This window comes from Homo sapiens, chromosome 13 (genome assembly GCF_000001405.40).
Source record: "Homo sapiens chromosome 13, GRCh38.p14 Primary Assembly".
NCBI lineage: Eukaryota > Metazoa > Chordata > Mammalia > Primates > Hominidae > Homo > Homo sapiens.
Window position 1 is genome coordinate 25,847,662 of NC_000013.11, and position 18,309 is coordinate 25,865,970.

An 18,309-nucleotide genomic window follows, 5' to 3' on the forward strand; every position below is an offset into this window, starting at 1 on the left:
TATCCAGTGGAGAAGTGCATTGTTCGCGGGTGTGTTGAGTATGTTTTTCTTATTTTCCATATTCCTGATGCACTGGCATTAGGGGCCTTGATTCCGGAGACACTGTCCTCCCAGGGCTAGCTAATTCCTGAAGTTAGCAAATGCCTCCCCTGCCTGCATGCCTTTGACATACAAATCAACCAAGCCCGAGCCCACACCCCCAGCCACCTCCTTTATCAAACTCTCACCCACTGAGCAGGTGTTCCCTTTGCCCAGCAGCACCCCAGGGCCAGGTACCCAACAACTAGGGACCATCCTTACAGCCCTGAGCCTGCCAGAATTACTCCCATTGTACAATCCTAAGTGTCCTCAGTCAGCATACCTACCCTGCCTCACCTGTTCCTCCCTGTAAGAACCCCAGTAGAGGCCTGGGCCATGCTCAGCGTCTCTCCAACCTCCTGAGCTCCGTGGCGCTACCTGGCATGGCCTTGCCAGGCATGCTGTGCCTCCTGCTTCTAGCATCTGTGAGTACGAACTTCTGCCTCCATGACAATCATTCCATGTCTGCCTGTCTTACCATATCTGTTAAAACTATGCCTGCTTCATTTCAACACAGTGAGGCTCCATGGAGTACACCCTCAGCCTCAACACTGGGAGGGGAGAGGCAAGATGGTTTGCAGGGCAAGGATCATTTGCTCTTACCCACATCTGGCAGGAAGAGATCCATCAGTTCTGCCCATATCTGATTGGCAAGAACTAGTCACAGGGCCTAGCACGGCATGGGGTGCTGGGGGATATCACTTAGTTGTGTACCCAGGAGTAAGAAACACGTGTGGCCTCACTGGGTGACTGCCTGGGCATTGGCAATCAAGTTTACTTTGCGTCATTTTTACTTCCTTTTTCAGATTTATTTTTAGTAAACAAAAGTGAAAAAAGAGAAAGATTGAAATTTGAGTTTCATGTCCTTAACTTTATCCAGCAGAAATGGCAATAGAGGAGAAAATCCAGCAATAGGCTTATATAACCAGGAGCTTCACCCGGCAGCGCTGGTTGTGAATGTAATTGTAATCACTAACACTTGTATAAACCCTGCTTTTTATAAAGCAACCTCCGATACTTTATACTACTTTTTACGGGGAGGAAAAAAATAAATTTTCTCTTCATGAATTCATAGTGTCGGAGGCAGAAAGCATAATTTTAATTCTAGTTCAGGCACTATAGGCATAGCAGGTTAACTTCTGAAAGTTTGTAATTTAGCGTCCTGGAAGTTGGAATATATCTTCACTCTTGATGTAAATCTAGAAGTTGCTAGTTGGGATGGGGTGCGCTTCCTCTGAGCCACTGGAGTCTTGAGAGGCCCAGAGAGTAAGGTGGGGGCGGGGGCTGGCTCAGTTAATGTTCTGGAATCCCGGCTGCTTTGAAACAGTGCTGCTGGAAGCTCCTGAAGGGAAAGGAGGAGAGAGGAAAAGCAGGAGAAACTTGGTATCTGCTCTTGGACAAAAATGTCTTGGCAGATGTCTTGGTGTTGAGGGAATGGTGCCACCTCTACCTCAGTTCTCCCTCCTGAGCCCTGCATGAGTGTGATGCCTGCATTGTTCAGTTCAGGTGTTCCACTGATTCTGACTAAATCAAAAGTATACATGTAAATCCAGCCCATCTGTTTTCATGATTGTTAAACGCCGTCTCTTCTGACCACTATGTTATAACATTGTCTTGAAATTTTGCCTTTGTCAGAGCCATTTCTGAATACATTTTGTGGTTTAGCTGGATGATGATGTAATGTTTTTAATGAGCATTTAATTGAAATGGCATCTTTATAAAATGGCATCAACCTAGCTCTTTGGAATATTCTGAAATAAGTTCCTTGATCATTTTGTCTCTTTAGAAAATGAGACATGCTTTTCTTATAAATTGTGGCTTTTCCCACAAATATTTTCAAAGAGATTTTTGCAGACAACATTTTCGGGCTGTTACTACTAATGTTGGAGAGCTCATGTGGTTTTGTCCCAGATGTTCACAGTAGGCTGGTTTAGTGACTATGTTTCCAGACCTAATTTGGCTAATCCTATGTTAGTTATGTCTGTTCCTGAACCCCAACCAGATTTCATGACTGATAGGAGTCTGGAAGAACAGACTCACCTGCTGCCTTGGGTCAGGGGATCCTGGAGCCACACATAACACTGAATTGTCTCTAAGAGAGCATCTGGGACTGTGTTTCTGTCTCTCTCATTTTATGACACTTTTCATGCATGCCATAAGCATCATCATTATATTAGGTTTGTATCACATGCAATCACAGATCATTCTAAATGTGACTTAGTATTTTATCAAACCAAGCACATGGAGAACTTGTGTTACCTTTTCTGTTGTTGTTGTTGTTTACCCTGTAGAAATTGTCCTCTGGATTTCTGAGATGGGTAATGCCCTCCTGTCTCATCTCAGCCCTCACCAGTGTTGGACCTGATCCTGAATTTGCAAAAGGCAAACTGATCTCAGTCTAGTTCCGGTAAATGCCAGCCCCACTGATGCGATGGGGAGGCGAAGCCTTCTTAGCTTTCTCCTTGCCCTTTAGGCCTTTGTGTACCAGTGACGGGTGTCTGCGAGGAAGAGCTTGGCTCTTGGAGAACACAGGTTTGGTGAGATCACATCTCTCCATATGCACTTTGGATAAATTTCTTTATTTATAGAGACTTTTTTGGAGCCTATACATTTGACCCCTGCTGACCTCACCGCTGTAGCCCCACCCCCACCTCATCAGCTCACCTTTCCACCTCCGCGCCCAATACAGGCTGGTTTTCTTTTTGCCTGAAATGTTCTTCCCCCTCTCAACTGACCCCCACCCCAAATATCCATCTCTGCCCCCCATACTACTTTCTCTGAAATTATGCTCTTACCATGGTTTGCACAGACGGTAGATAAATACTGTTCCAAAGGCTGGCTTGGGGAACCCAACTATTCCCGGTTTGGGGTTTTGTCCCCCTTTGAAAAAATTCACTTGAGATTTTAAATATCTGACTAAAGTGAAAACAGGAAAGACTCTCAGAGTGGTAGAATTGTAACAGAGCTGTTAAGATTTCACTCAGTGGGAAGGAATATTTTGTCAGCAACTTGCTTTAGGAATAAACTGGACAATCGAATGGGGCTTTTCCAGCCTGCATTAACAGCAAGCTGTAGCTTGGAAACACCTGCATGACAAACACTTTCTTAGGACTTCTTTTTTCCAGGAGTAGCTTATTGGCAGGTTTTAACAAGAAACGACACCCACAGGTGTTTGCCTCTAAAACTGTTGAAACAGAACCATCTAGTCCCCAGGGTTTCCCTACAGGGTGTGCAGGGTGATGACTGTGACTTGTTTGAAGGATGCTATCTTTTCAGAGGCTCTTGGCAAGTCCCAGAATCTCACCTTGGTTTGGGACTTTCTCCTCCAAGGGAATAAACTATTTCCAGATGGTGTTAGCTTTGCCTAGGGAAGGAAGTACTCTTTCCTAGACTGAAAACTAAAATGCAATGCTGAGTTACCTCTCCAAAACAAGGAACTGAAATATTAGGCTTAGCCCATCTTCATTAAAGTTTAATGCTCAAATTACCTTGTGTGTTAGCATTTTATTGAATGCCAGTAGCATTCACTGTCATGACAAGTTAGAAATTAATGCATTGTCAGCCGGATGCCGTGGCTCACGCCTGTAATCCCAGCACTTTGGGAGGCCAAGGCGGGCAGATCACCTGAGGTCAAGACTTCAAGACCAGCCTGGCCAACTTGGTGAAACCCCCGTCTCTGCTAAAAATACAAAAGTTAGCCAGGCATGGTGGTGGGCACCTGTAATCCCAGCTACCCGGGAGGCTGAGGCAGGAGAATCGCTTGAACCCAGGAGGCAGAGTTTGCAGCAAGCTGAGATCGCGCCACTGCACTCCAGCCTGGGTGACAGAGTGTGACTCTGTCTCAAAAAAAAAAAAAAAATTAATGCATTGTCAAACTTTAGAAGCTACATTTAGAAAACATCCTTTAGATTTCTCTGTTTCTGCTGTTCTGCCAAATTGCCAGCCTCTGGTACATAGTCTTAAGGGTTCCCCTCCATGCAGGTGTTCTCTTCATAGGTTAACATTCAGTCCTGAATGATCCAAGAGTTTGTCTCATGTAAAGGCCATCCAGCTTCATGAATTGCGTTGCTCTGTGCGAATGCCTCATGCTATTTATTTTATTTTCTTTTAAAAATGTTTTTTTCTTTTTTAGAGACTAAGTCTCACTCTGTCACCCAGGCTGGAGTGCAGTGGCATGATCATAACCTCAAACTCTTGGGCTCAAGCAACCGTCCTGCCTCAGTTTCCTGAGTAGCTGGGATAACAGGCACACACCACCATGCCTGGCTTCTTCATATTGGTTCTCTCTCCTGATTGCGTAGAGGACTGTATCCGACCCCAATGTCTCCTCCTCAGTCTGACGGGAGAGATGAGAATTCTCTCTGTTAGACATTCTGTCTTCAGTGTATGTTCTCTGTATTTACTCCACCTCCTCCTATTTCTTCCCTCTGAGGCAGTGGTTCTCAACCAGGATTGATTTTTGCCTCCCAGGGGACATTTGGCAATGTCTGCAGTTATATTTGGTTGTCACAACTAGGATGGGTGCTACTGGCATCTAGCGGGTGGAAGCCAGAGATGCTACCAAGCAGTCTGCGATGCACAGGTCAGCCCCCAGACAAAGAATTATCTGGCCCAAAATGTCCGTAGTGCCACATTTAATAAACTCTGGGCTAATGAAATGTCCACACCAACTCAGAATAAAAGGTCAGATCTCCAGGCGTTCCTGGCACTCCCGGAGTTGTTCACTTTCTGTGCTTCCTTATGTGGTATAAAATTTCTGTCATATGAGTCTAATTTTCTGTCCACCGCAGTTCTCTCCTGGATATTTCCTTTCCATTAGGTGTCAGTATTTCAAATGAGTACTTCTTAGTCTAATTGTTTTTTTCTTTGAAATTATCTCCTGTCATTCTTAGGAGTCCATTTTTCTAACTCAGTTAATTAGTACAAACTCTCATTTACAAAATTTACAGTTTCTTGGCCGGGTGCAGTGGTGTGTGCCTGTAATCCCAGCACTTTGGGAGGCCGAGGCAGGTGGATCACCTGAGGTCAGGAGTTCGCGGCCAGCCTGACTAACATGGTAAAGGCTGAGACAGGAGGATCACTTGTACCTGGGAGGTGGAGGTTGCAGTGAGCCAAGATCATGCTATTGCACTACAGCCTGGGCAACAAGAGAGAAACTCAGTCTCAGAAAAAAAAAAAATTACAGTTTCTTACTAACCATGTGACCTTGAACATATTTGACTTCTCTTTGCTGCACCAAGTTCCTCATGTGAAATATGCACATAATTATACTATTTCATGTAGTTGCTAAAGTATTAAAGGAGCTAATATGTGTAAAGTGCTTAGAACTGTGTAAAGTGTTTATATAAGATATTTTTTAAACATAGAATTTCTTGGTCAGGTGCGGTGGCTGTAATTCCAGCACTTTGGGGGGCTGAGACAGGTGGATCACTTGAGGTCAGGAGTTCGAGACCAGCCTGGCCAATATGGTGAAACCCCGCCTCTTCTAAAAATACCTCAAAAATTAACCGGGTATAGTGATGCACACCTGTAGTCCCAGCTACTCGGGAGGCTGAGGAAGGAGAATTGCTTGAACCCAGAAGGTGGAGGCTGCAGTGAGCTGAGATTGTGCCACTGCACTCCAGCCTGGTGACAGAGCAAGACTCTATCTAAAAAAAATATATATATATATGTATATATATATAGAATTTCTTATAATGTCTAAAAATTTTGTTTATTGTGTGTATATCCATAAAATATGAAACATGTTCTATGTCCTCCCTATTAAACAAATACTTTGTATGTTTTAGTCCCTGACTCAACCAGATTGGAAATATTGGTATTAGAAGAAAATTCAAAAAGTTGTCAAACCATAGCTACAAATTTTGACTTTCAGCTTAGTCTCCCATGCCTGCTAACCCTTTTGTCTGATCAGAGTTTTCTCTAGGGCCCCTTAGGGCTAATGTAGGTGGGACTTCAAGCACATAGATCATTGCTCTTCTCAATTCAGATGGATTAATGAGCAGATGGGTTGAGATGGAGATGAGGAAAGACATCCTAAGCTATGTTGAGGAGGGAGAAGATCTGAGACTCAAGTTTCTGCTGTTAAATCCATGAGGCTGATTTAGCAGCTAAGAATACAGGCCTTAGCCTTTTAGAGTTCCCTATCTGATAGGAGCCTTAGAGATAACTCAGTTGTCATCATTTGCATCTGATATAAAAATCTCCATTTTATGGGTGGAGAATTGAGACTCAAAACCTAAACTTTTAAAAAATGAAATAATGGCAGAGCTGGAACAGAGAGCAGGGCTGTTATTGGGTTTTGTAACTCTTATTACGGGGACTGCCTCCACTAACCCTAGTTCCCTTCTCTCCACCTCATGTTTTCTTTGTTTTGGAATATGGTCATGTTTCATTGCTGTCTTTTCTTCCTCTCGTGAACTTAAAATATGAATCATTTGGTACCAAGTTTTCATATGTCTTCCTGTATTCATATGACCAGAACCAGTCTTCTCCATCCCAAACACCGCTGTTTATCTACATACTCCAGCCAAAAACTTTCTTGATTCCTCACATTCTTTTCTACCCTACATCCAAATCATAAGAAAATTTTGTTTGTTTGTTTGTTTTTATAAGAGACAGGGTCTTGCTCTGTCACCCAGGCTGGAGTGCAGTGGTGTGATCATAGCTCACTGCAGCTTCAACTTCCTGGGCTTAAGGAATCCTCCCACATAGCTGGAACTACAGGCATGCACCAGCATACCTGGCTAGTTTTTAAAAAATTTGTTCATAGAGATAGGGTTACCCAGGCTGGTCTCAAACTCCTGGGCTCAAGCAGTCCTCCTGCCTCAGCCTCCTAAGTGCTGGGATTGCAGGTGTGGGCCACTGTGCCTGGCCAAATGCTGTCATTTCCACCTTCAAAATATTTCCAAGTGGCTTCTGTCCAAGCCACTCTGGGCCTGCATTGTTCAATAGCACTTTCTGTGAGGATGGAAATGTTCTGTATCTGTACTGCCCAATACAGTCGCCATTAGCCACATGTGGCTATTGTGAATTTAAAATGACTGAGGAACTGAAGTTTTTATAGCAGCTTTATTGGGCTATAACTCATATACCATCTAATTCATTGAAAGTATGCAATTCTATGGTTTTTAATATATTCACAGAGTTGTACAGCCATCATCACAATACATTATAGAACATTTTTATCACCCCCAAAAGAAACCCTATATTCATTAAGAATCACTCCTGGCCGGGCACGGTGGCTCATGCCTGTAATCCCAGCACTTTGGGAGGCTAAGGCAGGTGGATCACCTGAGGTCAGGAGTTCGAGACCAGCCTGACCAACATGGTGAAACCCCGTCTCTACTAAAAATACAAAAATCAGCTGGGTGTGGTGGCGCATGCCTGTAATCCCAGCTACTTGGGAGGCTGAAGCAAGAGAATCGCTTGAACCCAGGAGGCAGAGATTGCAGTGAGCAGAGATCAAGCCATTGCACTCCAGCCTGGGCGACAGAGTAAGACTCCATCTCAAAAAAAAAAAAAAAAAGAGTCACTCCCCATTTCTCCCAAGCACCTCCAGTACCTGGAAACCACTGATCTACTGTCTGTCTCTGTAGATGTGCCCATTTCTGGACATTCCATAGAGATGGAATATGTGGCCTTTGGTGTCTGGCTTCTTCACTTAGCATAAGGTTTTCAAGGTTCATCCATGTTGTAGCATGTATCAGTACTTCATTCCTTTTTATTGCCTAATAATGGTGTTCTATCATATTGATATACCACATTTTACCATTTCACAGTGGATGGACATTTGGGTTATAAATAGGCTATTGTGAATAATGAATAATGCTATTCATTATTTTAAGCTATTATGAATAATTATAATAATGGTGCTATAGCTTTTAAGTACAAGGCTTTGTGGGTTTCATTCATATGTTTTCATTTCTCTTGGATGTGTACCTAGGAGTACAATGGCTAGGTCACATGGTAACTGTACATAACGCTCTGAGGAACTGCCTCACAGTTTTCCAGGGTTTGCACCGTTTTACTTTCCCACCAGCAGTGTATGAAAGATCTAATTTCTCCACATCTTGTTATTGTCTGTTTTTCTGTAGGCACCCCGGTGGGTGTTAAGTGGTATCTCATTGTGGTTTTGATTTTATATTTCTTTGATGGCTAATGATGTTTTGCTGTTCTTCATGCACTTACTGGCCATTTTGATATCTTCTTTGCAAAACTGTCTATTCAGATCCTTTGCCTATTTTTAAATTTTTTGGGTGGCCTTTTTACTGTTGAGTTGTAAGAGCTCTTTGTGCATTTTGGATACAGGTTTCAGATACATAATTTGCAAGTACTTTTTTCCATTTTTCAGGTTGTCTTTTTACTTTCCTAGTGTTGTCCTTTGAAGCACAAGAGTTTCTAATTTTGAAGAAGTCCAGTTCATCTACATTTTTCTTTCCTCACTGTGCTTTTGGTGCCATATCTAAGAAACCATTGCCAGATCCAAGGTGATAAAGATTCATCGCTATGTTTTATCATAAGAGTTTTATAGTTTTACAACTCAAAAACAAAAAGTCAAATACTGCATGGCCTCACTTATAAGTGGTAGCTAAGTAACGTGTACACATGGACATGGAGTGTGGCATGATAGACACTGGAGACTCAGAAGGGTGAGAGGGTGGGAAGGGAAAGGGTGATGAGAAATTCTTTAATAGATACAATGCACATTGTTCAGGTGATGGAGACACTAAAAGCCTAGACTTCACTCCCATATATTCATGTAACAAAATTGCACTTGCACCCCTTAAATTTACATCAATTAAAAATGATTTTATAGCTTTGTTTCTATGATCCATTTTTAAAAATTTTTATTATGTTAAAAACATCATCTTTTCCATTTTAACATTTTAAGCATACAATTCAGAGACATTAATTACAGAATGTTATGCAACCATCACCACTATGTTTTTCCAAAAATTTTCATCACCCCAAACTGAAACTCTGTGCTCATTAAGCAATAACTCCTCCTTCTCCCCTTCCTCCCCAGCCCCAGGTAGGAATGAAGTTTGTATTGTATTTTATTTTAATTAATTTAAATGTAAACAACTAAATGCAGCTGGTGATTACCATATTGGGCTGCACAGTTATAACACGACTAGTATCATCCTCTTAGATAGACTGCTACAGTCATTTCTAAGCTGGCTTTGCATTTATTATTATCCTATTTATGGTTATCTATGGTCCATTCTCCCATAAAAGCTGGACTATTCCTTTAAGAATGTAACTTATTCCATTTCATTCCCAGCTCTGAATCTTCCAGTGGTTACCTATTACAATTAACAAAGAAATCCAAGCTCTTTGCTGTGGTCCACATTTGTCTGCCCCTTTGACTGTCTGCCTTCTCCTTTTCCTTCTCCCAGTGCCTGCAGCCCCACTGGTCTTCGTAATGATCCTTGAGCTCATCAAGTGCTGTCTGCATTCAGACTCTGCACAGTTTCTCTCCTCTGTCTGGAACACTCACCCTGTAGATCCCCATTTAACTCTCTCCCTCGTACCATTCAGATCTGCTCAAATGTCACCTCCTCAGAAAGATTGTTCCAGAGCTCCCTATCTAAAATAGCCATGCTATTACTCTACCTTATAGCTCCTGTGTTTTATTCTTATTTTTTATTAAGACAGGGTCTTACACTGTCACCCAGGCTGGAGTGCACTGTTGCAGTCATGGCTCACTGCAGCCTCAAACTCCGGAGCTCAAGCAATCCTCCCACCGCAAGCCTCCCAAGTAGCTGGGACCACAGGCGAGCACCACCACACTTGGCTAATATGTTTCTTTTCTTTTCTTTTTTTTCCTTTTTTTTTTTTTTTTTTTTTGAGGCAGAGTCTCACTCTGTTGCCCAGGCTGGAGTGCAGTGGCATGATCACTCACTGCAACCTTCACCTCCCAGGTTCAAGTGATTCTCCTGCCTCAGCCTCCTGAGTAGCTGGCAATTCAGGCAGGTGCCATCATGCCCAGTTAATTTTTGTTTTTTTAGTAGAGACAGGGTTTCACCATGTTGGCCAGGCTGGTCTTGAACTCCTGACCTCAGGTGATCCACCCACCTTGGCCTTCCAAAGTGCTGGGATTACAGGTGTGAGCCGCCGCACCCAGCAGCTAATGTATTTCTTCATAGCACTTATTACACCTGACATTTTATCGTGTATCTGTTTAAGGTTTTATGTCCTGTCTCCTCACTAGACCACAAGCTGTATAAAAACAGGGACCTTCTCTTCCCGGTTTTCATAATAGTGCCTGGCATAAAATAGGCTGTAAGTAAATATTTGTTGAGTACATAAAAGAAGAATCTTATTCATTTCAAGGCTATAATCTATGTTAGAATCAAAGAGATGGTCTCCATACTAAACTGAAGTATTTCTTCATTGAGGCAGGCATTTAAAAGTGTTGCACCTGTTAGTAAAACAGTCTTAAGGCCAGTTCCTGAAAAGTGAACTCCTACAATTTTGAGTAACTATTTGCTAATACATCAGCATGTTGCCTTCTTGGGATTAATTCAGCCTTTCTTTTACTTTTTTAACTTGCTCCCTTCCTTCCCTTTTAATGAAGTCATGCCTAAGCTCCAGTCTGTCCTTGTCCCCTCTCCCCTAAGCTTTGAGACCGTTCCTTTTTAAGTCAGTGGCCATGTCTCGCCCCGTTCTCCCGATATAACTCTTACTTTACCCAGCAGCGGGGCCTCCGTTTAGTGCAGCCCGTGATGTTGCTTTCCTGGTTCATCTTCCCTTATCCACAGATTTACCTGGCTGGAATCGGGAGACTGTGTGTGCCCAGGGGCTGGATTCGGAGACCCATGCTTCTGCAGTTCCACTTATGACTCCATCATTATGCTGTTTTAGGAAAATAAATAGATATTGATTCTCTAATAAGAGTGGGATTGTTCAACAAGCATTGGGAAAATCTGCGAGCCCAGATATGTATGTATAGCAGCTACTGGTTGGAAATTTGAACACAAGCATCCTTATCTACCCAGCCTGCGGGCCACAGACCAGAACTGAGTATAAAAAAAGAATAAAACCAAATGCCACATGTTGTCTCTTATAAGTCAGAACTCAACATTGAGTACACATGAACATAAAGAAGAGAACAATAGATGCCGGAGAACTTGACAAGAGAGGGAGAGAGGAAAGGCTTGAAAAACTACCCATTGGGATGCCAGGCACGGTGGCTCACGCCTGTAATCCCAGCACTTTGGGAGCCTGAGGCGGGTGGATCATGAGGTCAGGAGTTCGAGACCAGCCTGGTTAAGATGGTAAAACCCTGTCTCTACTAAAAATACAAAAATTAGCCAGGCATGGTGGCGGGCACCTGTAATCCCAGCTACTTGGGAGGCTGAGGCAGAGAATTGCTTGAATCCAGGAGGCAGAGGTTGCAGTGACCCGAGATTGTACCACTGCATTCCAGCCTGGGCGACAGACCGAGACTCTGTCTCAAAAACAAAACAAAACAAAACAAAACAAAAACAAAAAAAAACACTACCCATTGGGTACTATGCTTACTACCTGGGTGTCAGAGTCATTTGTACTCCAGACCTCAGCATCACACAGTATACCTTTGTAACAAACCTGCGCATGTACCCCAAAATCTAAAACAAAAGTTGGAAGAAGTTGAAAGAAATAAGAATAAAGGAAGGTTGGCAGTGTCATCCAAGGAAACTAAGCCTGATATTAAAATAGGCTCTGACCACTCAGGATAAAAAACAGACTTCTCTGTGCAGGTGTAGCGGAGATGATGAAACAACTCTATTAGCATTCTGCCTTAGTGGTTGTTATAGTCATAGCCATCCTTGAAAAGAAAAAAAAAAAAAGGAAAATATAGGAAAACTGAGGCTTAAAATCCTTCTTCTATTTTCTAAACTTCTGTCATTGGAGTGCTTGCGTTCCCCCAGGTGATAGACTCCGGAAGCTCATACAGTTGCAGATGAGAACATGAGTAATAAATACCCCCAAAATTCTTTCCAAGTTCAGTCATGATGAATTGGTTTAATATGCATGTAGTTATCTTTTTATTGGTCCATAATTCCAATTTAGCAAAATGTAAAGATGAATCATAAAGAATACCTGGAAAAAGCCCCAACATCGATGGCACTTAATAAAGATAGATGAGTATGTTCTTACTCCTTTTTTTAAAACAAACTGGACAAAGATAAATTTTAATGTTTACAAAAATGTAAATTTCAGTGCAGATCAAGCGTTTGGTTGGTTGGTTGGTTGGAAGCTTGACTTTATTTGCTTCATTTGGAGAGAATATAAGATGAAAAAGTTCATCATTAGAAAGAGAAGTAAGCATTAGAGTCACAGGATGGGATTTTGAAATACTCTGTGAGTTGATTGATGTTCCTAAAGTTCCCTGTTTAATGCTCTGAGTTAAATAGGTGGCCATGCTCAGCTTCTTGGATGTTAATAGTAACTTCTTTGTTTTTCAGATACTGTGTTGACAAGTGGTCATGCTACCGACTATTTATTTGTTGGAAATATTGTTTACACAGTAAGTTTATCTCTGTTTATTAAGCCATTCTTAAACAGCTTATGTGTGGCTTGCACTTCTCTAAACCCTTAAAAAGGGCCTTCCTCATTATTATTATTTATTTCAAATCTTCAAAATGTATTTTATATATCCTTCAAAGTTCAGAATGGTTGTGAAATGCTTACATCATCGTTTCTGAAGGTTATGCCAAGTGAAGGTTTCTGGGCAGGTGGTTAACAGATTTCCCCATTCTTCAAATGACCATTTTACACCTACCTGCAAAGGAAAACAACACTCAGGAAGGTGGTATCTCCCAAGCTAAGAAAAGGGCAAAACTATTATTTATGAGAAAGACTGTTACTAGAATGAAAGCTCTTCTGGAAGTGAATCTGCCTGTATGTCCCCTGAAAATAACCCTTAGAGAATTAGCTACTGACATGGCTGGTGCTTTCAAACCGGAGCTGCCTTGGGGAAGCTAGTTCTGGAGTGGAGAGATGGGATTTCTCATGGAAAGTGAAAATAACTCATTGAGAATAATGTGTTTCCAAACTGTCTTTTATTTTCACAGTATGTTGTTGTTACTGTTTGTCTGAAAGCTGGTTTGGAGACCACAGCTTGGACTAAAGTAAGTTTTCTCTAGAATTGTTTCTCTGTTCAGTATAGATATTTTTCATGCTAGGATTTCTTTTTAAGCCTTGGGGAAACCATAAGCAATATCTGGCTATCTTCTTTCAGATTTTCTGTGTAAAAATTGTGGTTTGATCTTGATCAGGGTAAATTTGCAATCCAAAGTCTCTTGGTGATTCATTTGCTTGGCACGTAATACAGCTCTAAGCTATTAACAGTCATCTCACTTCAAATGTATTTGCTCATTGTAAAAACAAAAACCATATTATACACACACATATATGGAAAATATAGAAGGACAAAAAACATTTAATGTCCATAATTTTACCACCAAGAGACAGTCACTGTTAATGCTTTCCTGTGGAACCTTCCGGACTTCGTTCTATGTCTGCATGTGTGTGTATTTTTTAATAAGATGATGCATTATAAAACATAGGACTTTGTAATCCCTTTTAATTTAAATATATATTAGGCACATTTTCTGTGACTTAAAATACAAGTCAACAAAGTTATTGTTCTTGATTAAAGAGTATTACGTTTTACAGATGTCCCACCATTTACTTCATCACTCTCTTATTTTAGACATTTTGGTTATTTCCAGCATTTAAAGATTATAACTAAAGCTTCATGTGTGTCTCTCATAGTGTCATGACCTGGCTGCTGTTTAAATGCTCTGCTAAGAAAAATGGGGATGGGGTGGAAGGTCAGTGAGGAATCAGGGAATCCCCTAAGAGACAGTGGCAATTAATCCGGGTCAGAGGTGATGATGACTTTGCTTACGATGTTAGAGGAGGAGGTAGTGAGAAGTGGTCGGAGTCTGGATTCATTTTATCTTTCTAAAAGCTAACAGAGCTTGCACATGGATTAGATTGTGGGGTGTGAAGAGAGAAAGAAGTCAAGGATCATCACATTAAGAGGACAAAGAAGAAAAAATGAACAACGCAGTAGATGCTTAAAGGGGCATTGTTAAGAGGCAATATCCATTTCAGATTTAAAAATAAAAAACTCTTGGCTAAAGGAATGGAACAAAGTCTTGAAATGATAAATAAAAACATCTTATTTATTTTGTCTGTTCAGCCACTCTGTTACCAGATTAATGAGTCCTTGTTGTATACAGCCGCAGGTTGGAGCAAACACTTGCTATGAACTGAGAGGGGCCCGCTGTTACTATGGGAGAAATCTTAGAGTAAGGTCACCTGTGACAGCAAAAGCACCTTCATCTTCAGGGTACTTTGGGGCCATTCATTACTTGAATTCATTGTTAAAAATTCTGAGACATGGGAATTAGAAAGATTGAACTTCCCATTAACTGGTGAGTCATCAAAGTCTTTCCATAAGGAAAGGTAGCTTGGATGCAAGGATTCTGCAGCAAGTGGAGTTGGGGTGAATCTGCCAGGCTGGTCGAGAAGCCTGTCTGAGTGTCTATTTCCCTCTGCAGTTCAGTCATCTGGCTGTCTGGGGAAGCATGCTGACCTGGCTGGTGTTTTTTGGCATCTACTCGACCATCTGGCCCACCATTCCCATTGCTCCAGATATGAGAGGACAGGTAAGTACTCCTGATTGGGAGTGTGTCTTCTGTGTCTTGTGACAGCAATGTTTCTCCATGGGCGGGTGAGCAGGCACTGTGTGTCTTACAGCCACGATGAGCTTCAGGAGAGGCTGGTCCTTCCTGCTTCCATCAGAATCTATCAGGAGATAAACCAAACCAAAGCACCTGGAAGAGGTCATCCAGTCCACAGAAAAGGCATTTGAAGTTTCAAGTATTATGAAAACTGTCAACTTAAATCCTCCGGCTTATTGGCATGCCCACATTTCCATAATAAATTATGTGTTAATTACACACAGTACCAATATGTACAGTTGGAAAACTGGAGCTATTTTGAATGGTTCCTAATCCATTGATTATGTTGATTACAGTTTTGATGTTGTACTCTGGTTTGTTGTTATACTCTGCTGGGTCACCTGTGACAGATGAATCTAACAGCTCTATGAACCAGATCATTGATAAACCAGAATCTCTCATTGTTCATCTCTTTGAACTAGAGAGGCTGAGATTGAAGACCTTTACACTCATTTGAATGTTTTTTATTTTTTCCTTCATATTATCTTTGTCCAGTGCATAAGATTGAGCCATCAACAGTGACAAACTGTATCCTAGAATCCCACAGTATTGGGTGTGGAGAGGAATGAGCTGACAGTCCTCTGGTACACACCTCCTCAGTTTACCAAGGAAGCTGTGCAGGCCCAGGTCTCCAAGCCCACCCCAGAGACCCCACCCTGGAGTTGCCCACATCCAGCACTGCCCTTAAACCCCAAGAGGCTGCTGGGCCCTGTACTTTAAGGACCTCTGCTCTGGCCTTCTGTGGCTGGGTGTGTTCCTCGGCACGGAGTGAAAAGCTATGATGCACAGAGTCCATCTTCCCACTTGTAATCTATTCTCTGGGCTCCCAGGACCCCTTGTTTCCTTCCCAAACAGCCAAAAGCCTCCTGCCCAGGCCTGCCTGGTCCTCTCTCCATATCTAGGCCAGTGTGCACACTGGGCCAAAGGGGCAGCTGTTTTCAAGGGTGTGCACTGAGTAGATGATGTTTGCACCGATGTTCCCGCCCACATTTGCAGGATGCTTGTGCAGGGGCACAGAACCCAGGGTGGGATGGGAACTGTGGGTCAGGCTTTCATTGGTGTTCCTGCCCCAGGATACATACTTTAGGGCCAGGCCTGTTCATGGCACACCTGGCTGCTATCTCTGCTTTACTTACTCTGTAGAAATGAGCAAAACCTCCTGGGTCTATCCAAGTCTGGACCATGTCTAGCAACTGTTTCTCGTGAGATAGCCCAGGGTAGCATTACTTGCCATTTCACCTGGTAGCTCTGTCAGCTAATAGCCCAGGTCGTCTGAGACCTCCACTGAGTGTGGGTGCTGAGCAGGACGGACCTGTCCTATAGGAGTGGGCTTGCATGTCCTCTAGTGCATCTTTGCTTTCTGTGAGGAAAGAGGACAAACATATAACATGCTTTTCAGTTTTTTTCCAAATCCAGACAGTAGAGGAAATTAGAGGGCGTTCAGTGAACCCAGAAGATTGTTGTGTAGCAAAATGAGCATTTTCCAACAAAGATATTTTGTGTTTAAATAAATCAGTTCTATTTTAAAGCAATGTGATTGATCCCCACAAAAAGCAAACCAAGAAAAGTATCCACTACAAGACAACGATCCATTGGTAAGGCATTGGTGCTTAGAATATCTGCTTTGTGTTCTCTTCCTTCTGGTTCAGGATGGATCTGCTGTGATGAATATTTCATTTGGGGAATTTTGTGGTGATGGACAATAGATGGGGCCTCAGCCAATGGCCATAGACAGTGTTCTAAATTAGAGAGTGACAGCTGACAGGACGGGGTCGCTTGGCATGTGACTGACAGACAAAGCCCATTCCTTTGAAAGCTCCTCCTGAGTCCTAAACAGAGAGCTGTGCCAGGGAACCACATGTACTTCAGTAACTCCAAATGTGCGTGAATTAGGCTGCTTGCCAACTCTCACTCCCATCGAGATACCGACTTTCCAACTGCAGAAGGACCAGGCTGATCATGCAGCTACTAAGGTGCCGACATTTTCACTGTACCAGTCACATAAGCATGATGGTCTGTATGGTTATAAGGCTCAGATTAATGGTGACATTCACATGTTTAAGGACTCTTCCAGCAGAACTTTAGTGAGTTGTTTCTACCATCCGAAAGCAAAGAAGTGATCATATTCAACCACATTGCATTTTTCTGTAAAAGCTTATTTTTCTTTAAAACATGTCATTTTAATCACTTTATTGGTTGGTTCCCATGAAGCAGATGATAATGATGTGAAATAGATGATAGCTGGGTGAAACCGAGGTTTTCATTAAGCAGTACATGAGAGGATTAATGTGGTTCTCTAGTGGCCGGACTTCCGAGTAGGTACTCTGCTGTCTGAGTCTAAAGAACTGTGTATCATCTCTAGCCTTCCTCCAGGGCAGGGGGCTCCTGAGTGGGTAAAGGGGGCCAGGAAATGTGTAACTTTAGTGTCACAGCCAACTTTTACACTGTTTCACCTGCAGTCTGCCACTCTGTATTTTGACTCAGTGCTTTGTTCATTCTTTGAAAAATGGCAGGGAAGTATTACAAAACATTTTTTTAAACACCTTTGAAGGATTGCTTGGGTGGATAGTGGCTTACACTAGCCTGAAGTCTCAGAAAGCCTTCCTCCTGGCTCAGGAGGACTTATATGCTGTCATAAAAAAGAGGAACTGGGTTCAGGTGTAGTCAGTAAAAGGAATTGGCTCTTTTGGGGAATTACTAAAAACATGCCCACGCCCTGTTCATTCCTGGGGGTCTAGGTTGGTAACTGCTTAGGAGTAAAGGGTATTCTAGGAAAAGGCCACTTTTTAAAATGACTGTTTGAAGAATGCTTCTAGTGATTTTTATAAACCACTTTTTGTAGTTCACTAAACAGTAGGTTTTTGGCAAGTGAACCTGGTTATGTGAAGTTCTAGAATTAAACTAGTGCCTAATAGCAAACAGCATTTCTCACTCAGAAGCCAGAAAGAGATTTGACACACAAAACATTCTGTCTATTCATAACATCTTCAGCCATTGAAAAGATGCATTGTTTCTGCTGGGGGTTTCCTAAACTAATTTGATTAAATATTTCTTTGTCTTGTCCATTATATTTGGAGTTTTTCTCACGGAGAAGAATATGGGTTTTCCCTTGAGGGCAAAGGAAAGGAAGGGCTATAGAATTGAATTATTCTACACTATCAAAGAGTCTTTATCTTCCCTAAATCACCTCATGACATGGTATGTGAAACCCAGCCAGACAACATGTCAGGAAGTCCCAGTGGAAGTTTCTGAAATCAAAGAAGTCATCTGCATCCTTCCCCTCCTGAAAATACGCCACATTTGTGGGATTTTAAGGGGCATCCTGTTTTTCCGTTTTTCTCTTTTGAAGCTTGGATTTATAGTAATAAAAACTTAGGTTGTGTCTATCCTGGGGAATGCCAGTCCTCGGCTATGGAAAATACATGATGATGTTTTTTTTCCGTGGGGGACCAGGTGTTTTTCTTTTCCCCAGTAGAATAACCATGAG

General features: G+C 42.2%; 1 protein-coding gene across 10 annotated transcripts in view; it reads left to right on the forward strand.

Annotated features, from left to right (window-relative positions):
- Positions 1-18,309, forward strand: part of ATP8A2 (ATPase phospholipid transporting 8A2) — a 653,878-nt gene that overhangs the window by 475,688 nt on the left and 159,881 nt on the right. For 9 of the 10 annotated variants that reach the window (NM_016529.6, NM_001411005.1, NM_001411006.1 and 6 more), the window contains 3 exons: positions 12,534-12,595; positions 13,143-13,199; positions 14,640-14,747. In NM_016529.6, coding sequence (NP_057613.4) covers positions 12,534-12,595; positions 13,143-13,199; positions 14,640-14,747 — 227 coding nt within the window. Of the gene's footprint in view, positions 1-12,533; positions 12,596-13,142; positions 13,200-14,639; positions 14,748-14,838; positions 15,042-18,309 lie in introns of those variants that run through there. The other variant, XM_011535107.4, reaches the window with a different exon arrangement.